The sequence below is a fragment of the Homo sapiens genome, chromosome 8 (genome assembly GCF_000001405.40).
Source record: "Homo sapiens chromosome 8, GRCh38.p14 Primary Assembly".
NCBI lineage: Eukaryota > Metazoa > Chordata > Mammalia > Primates > Hominidae > Homo > Homo sapiens.
In genome coordinates, this window is record NC_000008.11 from 18,937,645 (window position 1) to 18,955,752 (window position 18,108).

General features: G+C 40.3%; 1 protein-coding gene across 18 annotated transcripts in view, besides 1 other annotated feature; it reads right to left on the reverse strand.

Annotated features, from left to right (window-relative positions):
- Positions 1-18,108, reverse strand: part of PSD3 (pleckstrin and Sec7 domain containing 3) — a 557,503-nt gene that overhangs the window by 410,342 nt on the left and 129,053 nt on the right. Inside the window, exon 2 of one of the 18 annotated variants that reach the window (NM_001412875.1) lies at positions 2,469-2,649. The exons of 16 other annotated variants lie outside the window; for them this stretch is intronic. In NM_001412875.1, coding sequence (NP_001399804.1) covers positions 2,469-2,528 — 60 coding nt within the window. In that variant the 5' untranslated portion in view covers positions 2,529-2,649. Of the gene's footprint in view, positions 1-2,443; positions 2,650-18,108 lie in introns of all 18 variants that reach the window. One more of the 18 variants, NM_001412882.1, reaches the window with a different exon arrangement.
- Positions 1,928-3,127: an enhancer, noted in NCBI's record as "MED14-independent group 3 enhancer chr8:18797082-18798281 (GRCh37/hg19 assembly coordinates)". NCBI's record gives its function as "activates an origin of replication core promoter dependent on BRD2, BRD4, P300/CBP and CDK7 cofactors, and independent of MED14, by STARR-seq in HCT116 cells {active_cell/tissue: HCT116}" and the evidence as "EXISTENCE:reporter gene assay evidence [ECO:0000049][PMID:35650434]".

Genomic DNA, 18,108 nt, shown 5'->3' on the forward strand with positions numbered 1-18,108 from the left:
TCTGAAAAAAGGTGCATACTCCTCTTGGTGTTACGTGTTTGATAATCACAGGTTGTTAATTATCCTTTTCCCCAATAGAGAGGAAATATTAATTTTTTGAAGTGTTTGGGGAGCTTCAGGCTAGTAAAAGAGGAACTCGGCCAAGGGGCTGCCACGTAAGGTGCCCTAATTTGGGCAGGTGGTTAGGGAAAGCTCTCTGAGAAACTAACGCCTGCAGAGATGAGAAATATGACAGGCTGGGGAAGGTCAGCGACATATTGGCGGGAAGGCCATACGCATGGCCTTAAGGAATGGAAGGATGGATGAGGCTACTCAGATAACTAAGAGAAAGCCAAAGTGGCCACAGAAGAGCAAGTGAGTGGGCAAGTTTAGAGATTTGCAGGATGAAGAGTGTAGCTCAAGGAAAGGACGGAGCATTTTGATGGGTTTGATGGGAAGCCACTGAAGCGTTTTATGGGATACAGTGATTCATTTGCATTTTAAAAGATTATTCATTTACACTTTTAAAAGATCATATGGGTGTTATATGGAAAATGAATTGGAGTGAGACAAGAAGCAGCAGAGATATCAGCTAGAAATCCAAACGAGAACAGGGAAGTTTGGAGGAATAGGCAAAAGTGGATGAATTAAAATATATTTTGTAGGAAGAATTACACAGTTTTCTGATAAACTGGATTTAAAGAATGAGGGAAAGGGGCCAGGCACAGTGGCTCATGCCTTTAATCTTAGCACTCTGGGAGGCTGGGGTGGGCGCACCACTTGAGGTCAGGAGTTCGAGACCAGCCTGGCCAACATGGCAAAACCCCGTCTCTACTAAAAAATACAAAAATTGGCCAGGCGTGGAGCCATGCACCTGTGATCCCAGCTACTCAGGAAGCTAAGGCAGGAGAATCGCTTGAACCTGGGACGTGGAGGTTGCAGTGAACCGCGATGGCGCTATTGCACTCCAGCCTAGGCGACAAAAGCGAAAATCCGTCTCAAACAAAAAAAAAAAAAAAAAAGAGGGAAAGGGGAGATTAAGGTTAATTAGAATAGATACTAACCACTTACTCTGTGCCAGGCACTGTTCTAATGTAATACATGGAATATCTCATTTAATGCTCAGAACAATCCTATGAGGTGGGGGCTACTGTCATCCCCATCTTATAGGTGGAAAAAAGAAGGCAATGAGAGGCTAAATAACTTTTCCAAAGATATATAGATCCTAGATTCACACCCGAGCAGTCCAAATCTAGAACTCGTGGCATTGCGGATGACTCCCAGGAATCTGGCTTGAACAACCAGGTGCATGTATTGAGAATGGGGAGACTAGAGAAGAAACAGTATCAAGAGCCTACACTGGGGCTTCCAAGTGATGCCCCAAGGACTCACTAAAACATCAGAAAGAACATTTTTAAAAAGGAATCCATTACAGGGGTGCTAGAAAATAAGAAAAGATGCCATCTATACAGCAAAAGTTTCAAGAAATTCCAAGAAGATAAATTTTTGCTTAGAATCTCAACTTTAAGGCCGAGAACTGTTCTCTAAAGCAAGGTTCCCCTTGAGCAAGGATTCTTAACCTCAGGTCCGTGGGGAAGCAATTGCCAATCAAGAGAATTCTGGAAGTTCATGAAGCTGGGGAGGGGGTGATTTACATATTTATTTGCATTTACCTTTAGATGAAATTTAGCATGTTTTCAAATACAAATGTAAGCAACAAACCAGAGTATTGGTAGCAATAACCATAACTTGTCATCAATAGAAATTCATCATTTTCATATCATCTAACAGTTACTACAGATATTTGGAAATATGTATACTCGTCCCTAGTTTGAAATGATAATAGTTACTAGACTCACCATTAAATCTTGTTATCAATAAAGAAACATAGCTTTTTTTTTTTTTTTAGAGATGGGATCTAGATATGTTGCTCTGACTGGACTCAAACTCTTGACCTCAAGCAATCCTCTTGCCTAAGCCTCCTGAGAAGTTGGGATACATATATTATCATACCACAAATGTAATATTTTGGTAGCCAATCAAATTGGTTTCTTTTGCAACTCTATCTACATTATTGTATGCATTTAAAATGCACTATTCTGACAAAAGATCTAGAATTTTATCAGACTATCAAGAGGAGCCTGCTCAAGACTATTGTTTCTCAAATTGCAACTTATGACCCATTAGTGGCTTGTAAAATCACTTTAGTGGATCATGACCACATTTTTATATCAATAAGTTTATACACACATATCTATTTAATAGAATATAAGTAAAAATACCAGAGCAGAAAACACACTGTAAGATAAGCATTGTTTCATGGAACGTCTAAGTCACACGTGCATGTGAGTGTGTGTGCTGAGTCATGATTAAAAGTGTATTTCTCAAGGTTGCTCATGACCTAAACTGTTGGAAACATACTACCCTAGAGTGGTTCTCAAAATTTATCATGAATTAGCATTACCTACAGCACCAAGTAAAACACGTACTGCTGGGGTCCATCCCAGAGTTTCTGATGCCGTAGGTCTGTGGGGCCTGCGAATCTGCATTTTCTAACAATTTTTCAGGTGATGCTGATGTTGCTGGTACAGGAGCCATCTTCTTTGTGAACCACTGCTCTCGACCAATGGTCTTCGTACTCTGTTGTATATACGAATCACCTGGAATCTTCTTAAAACAGAAACTGAGCAGGTTAAGGTGGGGCCTGGGACTCCGCATTCCTAAAAGTTCCCTGGTGACCATGATCCACAGACCAGCTTTGAGGAGCAAGGCTTGAAGGCGCTAAAGCTTCCGAATGAAGCCGTGTTCAAAGTACGCTCAGACTATCACAAAAGTGAAACATTTTTTAAAAGGGACTGCTCGACCTAGAAGTAAAATTCACTAAAGGGCTCTGCTTAATAAAGTGCTCCATTAACATACTCCACCTTGCTAAATAATATAAAATTCATTCTGCTTGCATTTGTGTGGAGGCTAAAGTAACTCTATCTTGGAAACTAACATGCCATGTTGACTTCTGATTAACCCCAGTTCTGGGAATGCCTCTGAGATTTCCAATTTATCTACTGTTTCTTGAGTAATGGCACATACTTACAGTAAATCCTGCCCTTACATCAAATTCCTACCTATTCCCTCCGAAGCATGTGTGCCCCTTCCCTAGATATAATCCCTGGGTCTGGGGTATAATGGCATGGAGATCTATCCGTCTTGCAGTTGCCAAAAACCACGCTTCTGTCTGTCAGTTCCCCAATAAAACACCCTATAACAACAGTCTGGACCTGTCTGCCTTCTCCTTTGGTTTCTCAGCTCCACCTGCACTGGGGGGTTATTCTTACCAAACAATTAGTTATTCTTGAAGCTGTGAGCCCCTATTGATACATCCTCTTCCCATAGCAAGGCTTATAAATTTTTACTGATCTCTCCAATAATTAATGCAGGTCTTTGAAAACTGTATTGTTAAAACAATCAGATTAATGACAGACCCACAGAATTCAGACTACTATTTCCTTTGGCATTACTAACTGAATAAAATATATTCTTTTGCTTCATCACAGTTGTTTTTACGAACATAAATCTCCTTAAGAAGTATGGAACATGAAACATTAGCAGCTGGACTGATGGTCAGGTGATCAGACTTAAATCTCGGCTCGATAGTACCACGCAGTCTCACACAAATGCTTCAAGTTTGGGCTTCAGCTTCCCTATTGATAAAAAGTGTTACTCAAATTTATCTCTCAGCTCTCCTTGAATTCTGAAGCACAATGATTCTTCACACTTCTGAACCAGCTTCACAGACACTTCACTACGGGAGCAGTAACATCTTTTCCTTGTGATAAAATTACAATGGCATGATCCCCAAAACACACCCTGTATTTAAAGATGCAAGCCCACCATTAAATGGATGGGACAAACAAAATCTCAACCTTACATTTGATATGACTTTTCACATTTACAAAGAATTACATTCACGTTATCCAACTCGCAACATTACCGATTATAATTACCAATTTTAGACACAAGATAAGCACTACTGATGTAGAATGACTTTTTTTTTTTTTTTTTTTTTTGAGATGACAGATTCTCACTCTGTCACCCAGGCTGGAGTGCAATGGTACAATCTTGGCTCACTGCAACCTCCGCCTCCCGGGTTCAAGTGATTCTCCTGCCTCAGCCTCCAGAGTAGCTGGGATTACAAGCACGCATCACCATGCCTGGCTAATTTTTGTATTTTTAGTAGAGACAGGGTTTCACCATGCTGGCCAGGCTAGTCTCAAACTCCTGACCTCAGGTGATCCGCCCGCCTCGGCCTCCCAAAGTGCTGGGATTACAACAGGTGTGAGCTGCCACACCCAGCCTAGAATGATTCTTTTAATTAATTGTTTAGCTGTAAAAAAATCAAAAAGACGAAGCAGAAAGCTACAGGCAAATTTTAGAAGTAAAAGTGGTTTTCAGTTGATTTGGGAAGGGAATGATGGGGCTAGAGGAGTGAGGAGGGAGAAAAAGGTTAAGAGTAGAGTTTGAGAAAGGTGGCATGCTCCTTCATTTCCTTAATTATTTCAACTTCAGTATGATTTTCAGAGAATCTGAAAGCCTCCAAGTCAGCCAGTGAGTATTATAAAGAAAAAATTAAACACTAAATTAAAGACTATAAAATAATATTTCATGACTCACTCAAAACTAACACTTGGTTCCAACAGTCACACTCTGCACTTGATCCTGCTCAATCCTATCTGCTCCCATTGCCCAGCAGAAGCCAGGCCCATGGAAGCAGGGAGCCACGCACAACTTAAGTGCAGACAGGGACAAGAAGCTCAAGGCTAATGCTGCAAAAGGCAACAGTTAGGCGTTATGGGCTGAATTGTGTCCCCCCAAGATTTATATGTTGAAGTCCTAACCCCCAGTACCTCAAATGTAACTGTATTTGGAGATAAGGTCTTTAAAGAGATAATTAGGTTAAAATGAAATCAGTAGAGTGTGTCCTAACTTAACATGACTAATGTCTTCATATGAAAAGATGACGACAGGCACACACTGAGAAAAGACCATGTGAAGACACAGGGAGAAGGTGGCCATCTGCAAGACAAAGAGAGAGGCCTCAGAAGAAAGCAACCCTTCCAACTTTGATCTCGAATTTCTACTCTCTAGAACTGTAAGAAAATTAATTTCTGTTGTTTCAGTGCCCTGTTTATGGTACTTTATTACAGCAGCCTAGTTAACTATTACTTTAGGAAAGGCTACAGATTAGAGGGCAAAAGGAAAATTCTCCAGGATGACAGGTAACAAGCCCCTGCTATTCCCTTTTAATAAGCAAAAGGGTCTGGATGAGAAGGTATATCCTTGCACCAGCCCACACAGGAGGAATGTGGGTTTGAAGACATGCAAAGTTGTAAAAGGAGGTGAATCTTTCACTCTAGCCAAAAACAGCGATGTATAATACTCTAATCCAGTGGTTTTCCCAGCTGTGTACATGAGAATCCTAAGATTCAAAGAAGCTGCCTGGGTATAGAGACAGGGTGGCTGCAAAGATCAACAAAGGAGGCATGGTGAAAAAGACTCTTGTTCACTCAACCCCACACCACTTTTGCAACCACAGTAGTTCCATTTCTGTTTTAAAGATTCAAGTTCTATAACAGGTTTATGGGGAAGGGAGACGTCCAGTGTAAAAAGGAAAAAGAAAAAGTTTTAAAAAATCACTGTTGTTTATTTCTGGGTAAGATGGCAAAATAAATATACACATTTGCATTTGCCCTCATCCAAAGCTACTAAAAGCACAGTAAAGAGATTCTTCTTATAAAAGCACAAACCCACAGGAAATAGAATAAGAAAAATGACATTTTTGAAGCAAATGATCTAGTGATAACTGACACAGGAGACCACAGGAAAACCTGGAGAAGGAAAAGAACAATTCAATGCACCCCACAAGACATCCAAAGGACAAGGGAATGAGGGAGCCTGGTAAACTCTTGAAGTGAAGGAAAAGGGAGTGGCTTAGATAACAGAGGACTATTCACAAGGAATGGTTATCAAGCACTTAAGTCCTCAGATCCCTGCCTCCACTACACTGGGAGACAGCCCCTCCCCTACTCAGGTAAAACAATAGTTTTATTAACTAGAGAGATTTTTCAAAGAGCACTCTGGCCTAGGGGACACCACACACTACTGAAGTTAAAGATACCATAGCGGAAACTGGGATTTGTATGCTGGATGTTAAGATGCTTAGATTTCTTCACTCACCAAGCTAATGAAATTATGGCACCCTATACTTCACCATGCAAGCAGGAGACCGGAAGAGTTTTCACTGAGGAATGCAGCTAGACCAAGAAGGAAAACCTACAAAATTAAGTCACGACTCTATTAGTAAATAACTTAACCAGATCCTCCTACAGTGAAGCTTAGAGCTTCCACGTGGCTATTACCACCCCACTACTATATCACATTATACTCCTTAACTTTCATGACTATGATGGTTTTGAAAGTTTCAGGCCAGTTATTTTACAGAATGTTCTTCAACTTGGGCTTATCTTCATGTTTCATGAGGCTGTTCTTCTCTTTGCACCCTATCAGTGGCACATGCTTTCACTTTGTCCAATTACAGATCACATTCACTTTGATCTGCCAGGTTTCACCACTGAGAAACCTTTTTAAGTTGACTTAAAAAGTTTAAGCCAGCCAGGCATGGTGGCTCACGCCTGCAATCCCAGCACTTTGGGAGGCCAAGGCGGGCAGATGACCGGAGGTCAGGAGTTTGAGACCAGCCTGGCCAACATGGTGAAACCCCCATCTCTAATAAAAATACAAAAATTAGCCAGGTGTTGTGGTGCATGCCTGTAATCCCAGCTACTTGGGAGGCTGAGCGAGGAGAATCACTTGAACCCAGGAGGTGGAGGCTGCAGTGAGCCAAGATTGAGCCACTGCACTCCAGCCTGGGCGACAGAGTGAGACTCCATCTCAAAATAAATAAATAAATAAATAAATAAATAAATAAATAAATAAATAAATAAAGTTTAAGTCAGCTTAAACTTTTTCTCTTAGTAACGAATTATTACGCTGTGGAAAGGCACTTAGGAACTATGTAAATATCTTGTTTCACACCAAACTTTCAATTTATAATTTTATTTATTTTTATCAGAACAGGCTGAATTTATTGCTTTTTTATTTCAGTGCTCAAATTGCCCAGTTGGGACTGACAGAAGCCTCTTCAAGTTGGCTTCTGTGTCTTTTGACCTGTCCCCATTATTCTCTGAGCATTTATTTACTTTCTCACGCCACAGAATGTTCCATGCTTCTCTTATATTTTCCATCTGCCCTAGAATGAGCCATTTTATTTTAAAACAAAACTGGTTCCTTTCGATGAAAAATATTCTTTAGATCTAAGACCTCAACACTAGCTGTGCTTACTGTTATTGGAGAGTAGCTGCTTATAGGTCAGCTAGGGAATTTCAGACAGACACACACACACACACATACGTACACACACACATTCACACTCACTGTGGTAGACTAAATAAAGGTCCTCCCCCACAAAATGTCTACATTCTAATCTCTGGAACCTGTGAATGTCACCTTACATGGCATAGCCTTTGAAAATGTGATTAAATTAAATTTCTGGGCATGGGAGGGCTATCTTGGATTAGCCAAGTGAACCCTAAATGACATCACATGTATCCTTATAAGAGGGAAGAAAAGAAAGATTATGAGGCAGAAGAGAAGAAAGTCATGAGACAGAAGCATAGAAAAGTAGAGCCAGAGATAAGATACTACAACACTGGCTTTGAAGATGGAGGAAGGGGCTGTGAGCCAAGGAATGCAAGAAATGTAGCTCTAGAGTCTAGAAATGGCAAAGAAACAGATTATCCTCTGGCACCTTGATTTTAGCCCCTAAGACTCCTTTCCGACTTCTAGTCTCCAAAACTTGAAGAGAATAAATCTCTGTTGCTTTAAGCCACCAAGTTTGTGATACTTTCTTCCAGCAGCTATAGGAAACCAATACAGATAAACAGAAATATACACAAATACACACTTTATATCTACATTATCTCTACATCTACCTTATCTAATAAAAAACCATAAGTCAGCTGGGCGTGGTGGCTCACACCTGTAATCCCAGCACTTTGGGAGGCCCAGGTGGGCGGATTACTTGAGGTCAGGAGTTTGAGACCAGCCTGGTCAACATGGTGAAACCCCATCTCTACAAAAATACAAAAATTAGCCAGGTGCAGTGGTGCACACTTGTAATCCCAGCTCTCAGGAGGCTGAGACAGGAGAATCGCTTGAACCCGGGAAGTGGAGGCTGCCGTGAGCCGAGATCGCGCCATGCACTCCAGCCTGGGCGAAAGAGTGAGACTCCATCTCCAAAAAAAATTAATAAATAAGTTCACATTCATATTTTTCCATAAATGTATTTATGCTGCTTTCAAGTACAAATGAGTCATTAATGAGATAATCACAAGACTAACATGTAACTTGTTACTCCACCTGTACTGTTCCTTTTTAGCACAGATCATCCAAATACACTTTGCTCTCCCTCTATAATTAAGACTTTCCACTATAATTAAAAATTTTTTATTGCTGAAAAACAAAGAAAACTATCCATTCCCTCAGTTTATCTGGCAATAAAGAGGAAGATTCAAGTCCTAGCATGTGTAGCATTTTTTTCCTTTAAAAATATATTTGAGGCCAGGTGCGGTGGCTCATGCTGTAATCTCAATGGTTTGGGAGGTCAAACTGAGAGGATTGCCTGAGGCCAGGAGTTGGAGACTAGCCTGTGCAATACAGCCAGACCCCTGTCCAAAAAAATAAAAAATAAAAAAATCAGCCAGGCAGAGTGTCATGCACCCATAGTCCCTACTACTCAGGAGCGTGAGGGAGGAGAATCACTTGAGTCCAGAAGGTTGAGGCTGTAGTGAGCTATGATTGTGCCACTGCACTCCAGCCTGGGCATGGAACAACACCTTGTTTCAACAAATAATAACATTAAATAATAAAATAAATAAAATTTTCCAGGCACGGTGGCTCACGCCTGTAATCCTAGCATTTTGGGAGGCCGAGGTGGGTGGATCACCTGAGGTCAGGAGTTCAAGACAAGCCTGACCAATATGGTGAAACCCCATCTCTACTAAAAAAAAAATACAAAAGTTAGCTAGGTGCTGGGGGGAGTGCCGGTAATCCCAGATACTTGGGAGGTTGGGACAGGAGAATTGCTTGAACCTGGGAGACGAAGGTTGCAGTGAGCTGAGATTGTGCCACTGCACTCCAGCCTGCGCAACAGAGCAAGACTCCATCTCAAAAAATAAAAATAAATAAAATAAAATAAATAAAATATATTATAAAATAAAATTAAATAATAAAATATAAATATATATTTGACATACACCTGCACATAAACAAATGGGGAAGATGCTCGTGCTTGGGCCAAAGGGGATGGCTCACGTATGCCCTACAACCAGTCCCTCGTCCCCTCACAGACTAACTGGATAGATATTCCAAAAGTCAGTAACAACATCAAGTAAAAAAGTAAAACTGGGACAGAATGCCTCTCAAGAGTAGAGAGCTTCACGGACAAAACAGCCAGGAAACAAACCAGGTAGCTGAAAGGCCCCATCTTTAATTTGTGAAGGTTAGAAACAGCATGGAAACCAAAGGGCAAAGCAGGAAATGGACCACCAGCTTAGGGAGAAGACGTCGGCAAAAAGCAAGCCTCGGTCCTCACCCAGTCATCATGCAGCCCCGCTGCCAGCTTGTTTTTAATTGTGTGAGCACAAGACCAATAACTGAATTCATGGCCTTGTTAAAAGCCCCTGGAGGTCCATTCTCATTTTCCCACCAGCTGCTCTCTTCACTCTGTCCATTTCCAGTGTGAAAGACGCTCCCCTGGGACAAGGGGAAGCCGGGGTTCTGCTGCTCCTCCAGGCAAGGGGTCAGGGAGCGGCGGCCATATGGGGTGGCGGGGGGCCCAGAGCAGAGCCGCAGTGGCACGAGCTGGCTTCCATCGACACACATGTGAAGGCAGAGGAAAGGACAAGAAAGCATGCCTTTAACAGGTTCAAATGAATCTTCCTTTGGTAACCTTCATGTTGGACCCATTTTCGTTGTCTTTTAACCAGATGGGAAGATTCTATCCCCCTTCTAGGAACCGTGCCTGGCCTGGGCAAGGTTCTGAATTCATAATACCCGAGGGCTTCTTACCAATGGTGGTAGCTGCTTTATTTTTTTTGAAGTGTGACATAGAAAGCTGGGAGCTAGAAAGCTAGGACGGTACACATTCATTTGTAATAAAGCCTCCCATAAAACTAAAGTAGGATAGAGGGATCAAGTCTTCTTCACAACTCCTTCACTAACACAGCAGTAACTAAAGAGCTGGAGACCTTCAATGAAAGAATTTGAAGAAAATTAACAACCGACTATTATGAGTTCACAGCATATCCTCCGCCTTTGCCACCATCTCATAATCAGTAATGACAGACTGAGAAGACGGGCGGACTTGGACAGCAAACAATAAACCTAGTGATTCAAGACTTCATCTCGCCTTTTCCCCTACCTATTCCTGACCTTTTTTGCCTTCCTCAGGTTCTGGACCTGTGTGCTTCTGATAATGTTTAAAATTCACAAATGAAGCAGATAGTATAAATATTTGCATTTAAAAAATAAAAACATTGTTAAACCTTTGAACACATCTTACTGGCTACAGACTCTGGATTCTTAACAGGAGGATGGAGCTCTCCACGTTGGGAGAGCACTTGGGGATTTAAGTCGGGTCACATGAGGAAAAGCTGAAAACTACACAGAACTTTAAAAGTCAGCCCAGCATAATCAGGATCCCTATGAGGAAATCAACCAGACTGAATAAATAACATTCATAAATGCTCCTCTACTTCTTTCTCAAAAAAATGGAGGTGGGTCAGGTACTGAGAACAATCAAAACAAGTACTATGCAAAGCAGAGACTACAGGCTCACACGAAGTGTTCAATAAATATTTTTCCTGAATCCTTATAAACTAGGAAACCTCAAAAAAGCCTTGAAACCTTGGAAAAGGTTAGGAAGAAGTCCTACAAAGAAATTGCATAAGCATCAGCCTTAGTCACCTAAATCTGCTTTGCAAATATCATGGTATCTTTGGTCATTTCAGAAGTTCCAATAACTTCTGAAACAAAGTGAAATCCACTCTATATTTTTAAAAAACATAATTTGTCACTTTGACAAAGAGAAAAACAGGTGCTAAATGTGATTTTAAGGTGGGAATCATGAGAAGTAAGTGTCTTCTCACCTTAGTTTGCTATATCTCTAGTTCCCTTAACTTAAAAGTGACCTCTTGGTGGCAACTGTGTATTTAAGTGAAACATGTAATACCTAGAACTGCACCTTACAAATAAGACAGGCAAAAGATTGCTCTTGATTAAGATAAGAATATAGTTATACACGGTGAAACCCCGTCTCTACTAAAAATACAAAAAATTAGCCGGGCGTGGTGGCGGGCCCCTGTAGTCCCAGCTACTCGGGAGGCTGAGGCAGGAGAATGGCGTGAACCCAGGAGACAGAGCTTGCAGTGAGCCGAGATTGTGCCACTGCACTCCAGCCTGGGCTACAGATCGAGACTCTGTCTCAAAAAAAAAAAAAAAAAAAAAAAATATATATATATATATATATATATATATATATATTTATAGTTTTCTTCTCTTCCAAGGAGTTAAACCAGTGATCAAACAAATTAAATCAATGTTATTTTCTACTTACACAGTATTAATCATTTACCCAACCTACATGCATGCAGAAAAAAAATAATCTCCTAGGCAAATATAAACATTCTGAAACTCATGAAATCCATGTTGTGATTTACACTAAAATAACACACGAAATATTTAAAATAATATAATCATTGCATTAATTTCTGTAAGAAATACATGTCCCACTTAAATTTCATTAAAGGTAAATATCTCCAAGCAAATGATCATGAGCTTCATATCACAAAGAAAATCTGAAGTCAGGTCACTCAGTGGAAAGCTTTTGGTTCTGTGTATAGGACATAAATCGTGACCAGATCATACCAAGCATTTCATCCCTGGCTGTTAATAAATGAATATTATGAAGAACTGTCCATAAACTGAGCTCAGAGCATCTACAAAACACATGTCTGTAAGGACAAGGTAAAGAGGGGCACCAAAGAGAGCATAAGGTCCTGAAAATATAAATTTAGCAAAAAATTTCACATCAGTTCTCAGACGAATAACACTATCTCTCGTCTTGATAAATTTTTTCATCATATTTTAAATTTTAATTTAAAATGATATAGAAAAGTAAAATACATTATATGGGTGCTTAATACTCCTGTCAATTACCAGTAAAGTCATTCTTCAAAATGTCATGACAAGACAAGATGCATCAACTGCCTGACTTTCCACTGCGAAATTCTTACATCCCAGCTTCAGGGAGGTTCTGAGGGCAGTCAATAGGTGCCCAATAGCACCTATTTAAACTATAGCTTTGTCACGATACTCATACTACCTGCAATATGAAAAAGTTCCCATTATACCTTTTTAACTTTTATAAAGAAACAAACTATTTATTTGTAATGAATATTCAAAGACACAAACTATTCGTTGAAAGCCAAAAGGAATAAACTTCTCAGAAAGGAATTGTTTACAGAAGCATATTAAAAGTGGTTATTTTATTAGTTTTTTTGAGGAACTCTGTTACTTTTCCCTTAACACATCCATCACCTCAAATACTTTTTGTATTTTGTGGTAGCAACATTTGAAATTTACTCTCAGTGATTTTGAAATGTATAATACACCATTATTAAAATTATATTCAAGGTGCTCTGCAATAGAGCTCAAAAAAGAAACAAACAAGCAAAAAGAAACAACGTATTCCTCTTGTCCAACTGAGGCTTTGCACCCTCTGGCCATCATCTCCCGATTTCCCCTACCCCAGCCTCTGGTAACCACTATTCCGCTTTCTGTTTCTATCAGTTCAACTGTTTTAGAGCCCACATACAAGTGAGAACATGCAGTATTTGCCCTTTTATGCCCAGCTTATTTCCTTTTCACTTCATAACATCACTTTGTACCCCATAAATATATACAACTATAACTTATCAATTTATAATTCATATATTTATATATACATAATATAAAATTCCACGACCCATTTGGTCACTGACCTCTCGGGGAACATCAGGTTGTTCCCTGGTGCCTTGACAAGAGTTTATCGGCCTCACCCACACACGCAAGTGATCCAAGAACTGTCCTGTGTCATGCACTTGAGAAAGCCAACACAGGAGACACAGTATTTCTGTTGCTCTAGGGCCGAGCTGCAATGGGTTACCTGGGGTGCTTGTGGATAAACTGCTGATTGCTAGATTGAATCAGATTCTTAGGAATGGAGCTGCAGAACCTGCATTTTGACTTGACTCCTCCATGTGATTCTTAGGCATGCTGATGTTTGAGGAATATTCATTCTGGAACTATATGAGTATACAACAGAGCCCTCAAAAAGAAAAGGGCATGGTGGCTCATACCTACGATCCCAGCACTTTGGGAGGCCGTGGTGGGAAGGTTGCTTGAGCCCAGGAGTTCAAGACCAGCCTGGGCAACATAGTGAGACACCATCTCCACAAAAAATTTAAAAAATAGCCAGGTGTGGTGGCACATGCCTGTAACCTGTAGTCCCTGCTACTCAGGGGGCTGAGCAGGGAGAATCGCTTGAGTCCATGAATTAAAGGCTACAGTGAGGTATGATCACACCACCGCACTTCAGCCTGGGTGACAGAGCAAGACCCTGTCTCAAGAAAACAAAAAACAAACCAAAAAGGACCACGGAACAGCAGGGCAGTGGAAAGCAAGGAACAAAACCCAATCCTCTAGGGCCACAGCCACCATTCCTACAACACAAACCACAACCACAAAGTACCTGGAAAAATGCACTGACAAGTTAGGATTTCTGGCTTCTTGAGGGTATTTTACAACTGATGTTAACATTGTTAGTTGCTTTTATCAATGGCTTCAAATTTGTGCAATTAGTGAAAATAATTAGCCATGAAGTTGCTTTTGGACCCAAACAATCAAGGAATATAATACTGGGAAATGGGCCAGGCACAGTGGCTCACACCTGTAATCCCAGCACTTTGGGAGGCCGAGGCAGGTGGATCACCTGAGGTCAGGAGTTCGAGACCAACCTGCCAAACATGGTGAAACCCCTCCTCCACTAAAAATACAAAAAATTAGCTGGTGTGGTGGTGGGTGCCTGTAATCCTGAGGCAGAAGAATCATTTGAACCTGGGAAGCGGAGGTTGCAGTGAGCCCAGATCACACCAGTGCACCCCAGCCTGGGCAACAAGAGCAAAACTCTGTCTCAAAAAAGAAAAACAAACAAACAAACAAACAAAAAACTGGGAAATGTTCCTTGCTACATAAGACTGATTCAGTCTCACAAATACTGCATTTTCAACAGACAATGCATGAACTAAAGAATAATGGGTGGATGCCAGTCACCTTTGTTCTTAAATACAGAACACTGGAGAATAAATGATTCACCAAGAGGTGTCCTCAATTTCATAGTTTTAAAGACGTCTACATCCTACTCCTCCCCTACCCACATGCCTACTCCACGGTCAATGATCTCCAGAACTTCTGAAGATTATAGGCTTATTCTTTCTATCTTTACATCCATAATTGGAACATAAAAATAATGTGATAAACTGTTAACTTTAAGAATGCTTGTTTGAGCTTGCCAGAGACCTAAAAACGGACTTGTTTCTGGGGAAAAATAACAGAGCTCCAAATAATTAAATTTTAAGTAAACTTTTGGGATTCACATGTGAAAGTCAGAGATCACCTATACATTTTATTGATACACATGATAGTAAAATCTGGTTCAACGCGGTTAACAGCTTACATCAATTTACAAAGACTACTGATGTGACTCTGATTACAAATCCCTAATTGTGCTGTGAGAGACTGATAACAAATCATCTTGTGAACAAGAACAAATGAATTAAATATACAAATTATAGGACTGTTAGAATAACAGTTCCATTATTTAGAGCACAATAATCCAGCAAACATATTTGGAATATAGAAAGCAGATTTTCAGAGTGGCCAAAGCATACATGTTTACAAGTCCATGCAATTAAATACACTTTATTCAGGAGAGCCCTTCGAAGCTCTTACATATGGACAATTTGGAGACATTTAGTTATTTTTCTAATTCTTGTAAGAATCCAAACAACTTATTGAGGAGACGAGGTGATGGCCAGCAGGTACTACATAAAATCGAGAATGACCACCACAGGTCTGACAGTAAAAACAAATGATAAAAGACAACATAAGCAAAGATAAAAGACATGTATCAACTGTGAGTAAACATCTGCAACATATATTTAAATATCTAATATATAACAAACTCCAACACATCAATAACCCAGCAGAAAAACAGGCAGAAGATAAAAACAGACCATTTAAGAAACAGAAATACAAATGGCGAATACACATTAAATGATCTTCAACCTTCCTAATGATCAGTGAAACACAGGTTAAAACAAAGTCACCAGTTTTTACCCACAATAGTGGCAATGATCAAAAAGACTGACAATCAATTTTGAAAGGCTATGAGGAAACTGATAAACTCCTGGTTGGGGTATAAATTAATGGTGACGCGGCATGTTCATATATATCTGTCTCTCTCCATATGTGTGTGTATGTTGTGTGTGTGTGTGTGTATGTACATACATATGGTTTACAAACATTTGAACAGATACTCAAGGCAACACATATAAATATATCAATGGCAGCACTGTTTGTAATAGCAAAAGCTAGAAACAATCTGTCCATCAATATACAAATGGCTAAATAGGCCGGGTGTGGTGGCTCACGCCTGTAATCCCAGCACTTTGGGAGGCCAAGGTGGGTGGATTACCAGAGGTCAGGAGTTCAAGACCAGCCTGGCCAACATGTTAAAACCCCATCTCTACTAAAATTACAAAAATTAGCTGGGCGTGGTGGCAGGCATCTGTAATCCCAGCTACTCGGGAGGCTGAGGCAGGAGAATTGCTTGAACCCACGAGGCAGAGGCTGCAGAGAGTTGAGATGGCACCACTGCACTCCAGCCTGGGTGACAGCAAGACTCCATCTCAAAAAAGAAAAGAAAAGAAAAGAAATGGCTAAATAAACGATAGGATGGAATACAGTGGAGCAATTTTTTAACATGAGGTAAACTCGCATATACTGACATGGATGTATGCCAACATATATAAAAAACAAACTGAAAAAAATATGTGTAGTATGACACTTAAGACACACATATATACATATATATGTATACACTCCTCACACACATACATAGTACAAGTACAAACTGCAGGGTTGATACTCAAGATATCAAACAGTGACACAGGGCTCTGAGCAATTTCAGCAGATGCTTGCTCAGTGAGAATGGATACCAGCTGTATTGGTACAGGCCATTTAATGTATACACTTGCTCCTCAACTTATGATGTGGCTACATCCCCATCATAAGTTGAAAAATATCTTAAGTCGAACCATCTTAAGGACCATCTGTATTAGCCATAAATATTAACACGGCACATAAACATGCATAGAAAAAAATCTGGAAAAAATAAAAAACCAAGATACCTGTGGCACAGTGGATATGAGGGGCCCAAGATTTGGGGAGGGGTTCAATGCTGAATTTGACCTCATCAGTAATGCTTTAAATTTCTATGAGAATGTACTCATGAATTAATTATGTAACTAAAATTTAATTTTTATAAGAAAAAAAAAGAGTAGTATGGAAAAAGTATATCAGTTGAGGTACTCATTCATTTTACTTGTCAAGTGTTATGTAGTTCTTGAATCAAATCTGGCTAAAATTTTCTCATAAAGATGACCAATGTTTAGTTCCCTAATCTAGAAGCAATCAACCATCCATCCATCCATCCATCCATCCATCACAAAAAAGAGTTCTGGTCGGAGAAGAATACCAAGGGACACTGTCTATCATATTCCAATTTCAGTGGTGGAGGGGATGCACAAAGTAACATCCTGATGTAGTATTTGTCTAGCTTCAAGTCCAGTGTTTCCTAAACTTGGGTATATCTGAGAATTCCTTGAAACCTCACCCCAAATATTCTGTTTTCGCAGGCCTGCAGTGGGGGCTCAAGATTCTGTATCCCTGCCAAACCCCACAGGATTCTGATACAGACGGTTCAAGGACCACACACTGAGAAACACTGCTCTAATCCAAGGGAATTACAACATTAATCTTTCCACCCTCATCCCAAGTTCAATGAACTGCATCAACTTTGTAAGTGACGTCACGTTAGGATGGACAGACGCCAAAAAAAGAGATAACATCAAGGTGCAGGCAGACAACGAGGGAGTCAAATAAGCAGAGTACACAATGTGCTAGTCAGCTTTCACTAGATTAGTTGTGGCAGTAGCAAATCACCTTCAAATGTTAGTGGCTTAAAGTGAAGGTTTATTTCTTGCTCAGATGTTGTGGCTGCTTGAGGGCCAACTGTGGCTCTGCTCCAGGTGTGGGTAGGCTGAAGAAGATTCCCCCGGCATCTCCTTCATTCTGGAATCTATCTGAAGGGGCAGCACCACACTAGACACCTGATATACATGACGTCTCTTTTGTGTTTTTAGAGACAGGGTCTCACTCTGTCACCCAGGCTGGAATGCAGTGGCACGATCATAGTTCACTGCAGCCTTGAACTCCAGGACTCAAGGGATCCTCCCTCCTCAGCCTCCTGAGTAGCTGGGACTATAGGCACACCACAGGGCCTGTCTTTGTCTATTTTAATAATATAATTGTTAATGTTGATATATTTTCATTTTGGTTACATATATATTACTTTCTTGGCTATATAAAAGTTTATGCATAACAATTATTCATTTATCAATTTTTTACTATTATAGTGTTGCAACAATCAACCTTCTACACATTTCTTTACATTCTTTTCTGATTATTCGTTTATGAAAATCTCCTAGAGGAGACAACATTGAGATCAAAGGAAATGCATATTCAATACTCTTGATACACGTTGCTGAGCTGTCCTCCAGAGAGGCTGTCCCAGGAGTGGACAGGGACTGTGTTTTCAGTCATGTCTGAATCTCAAGCCAAATCATCGTTCTTAGC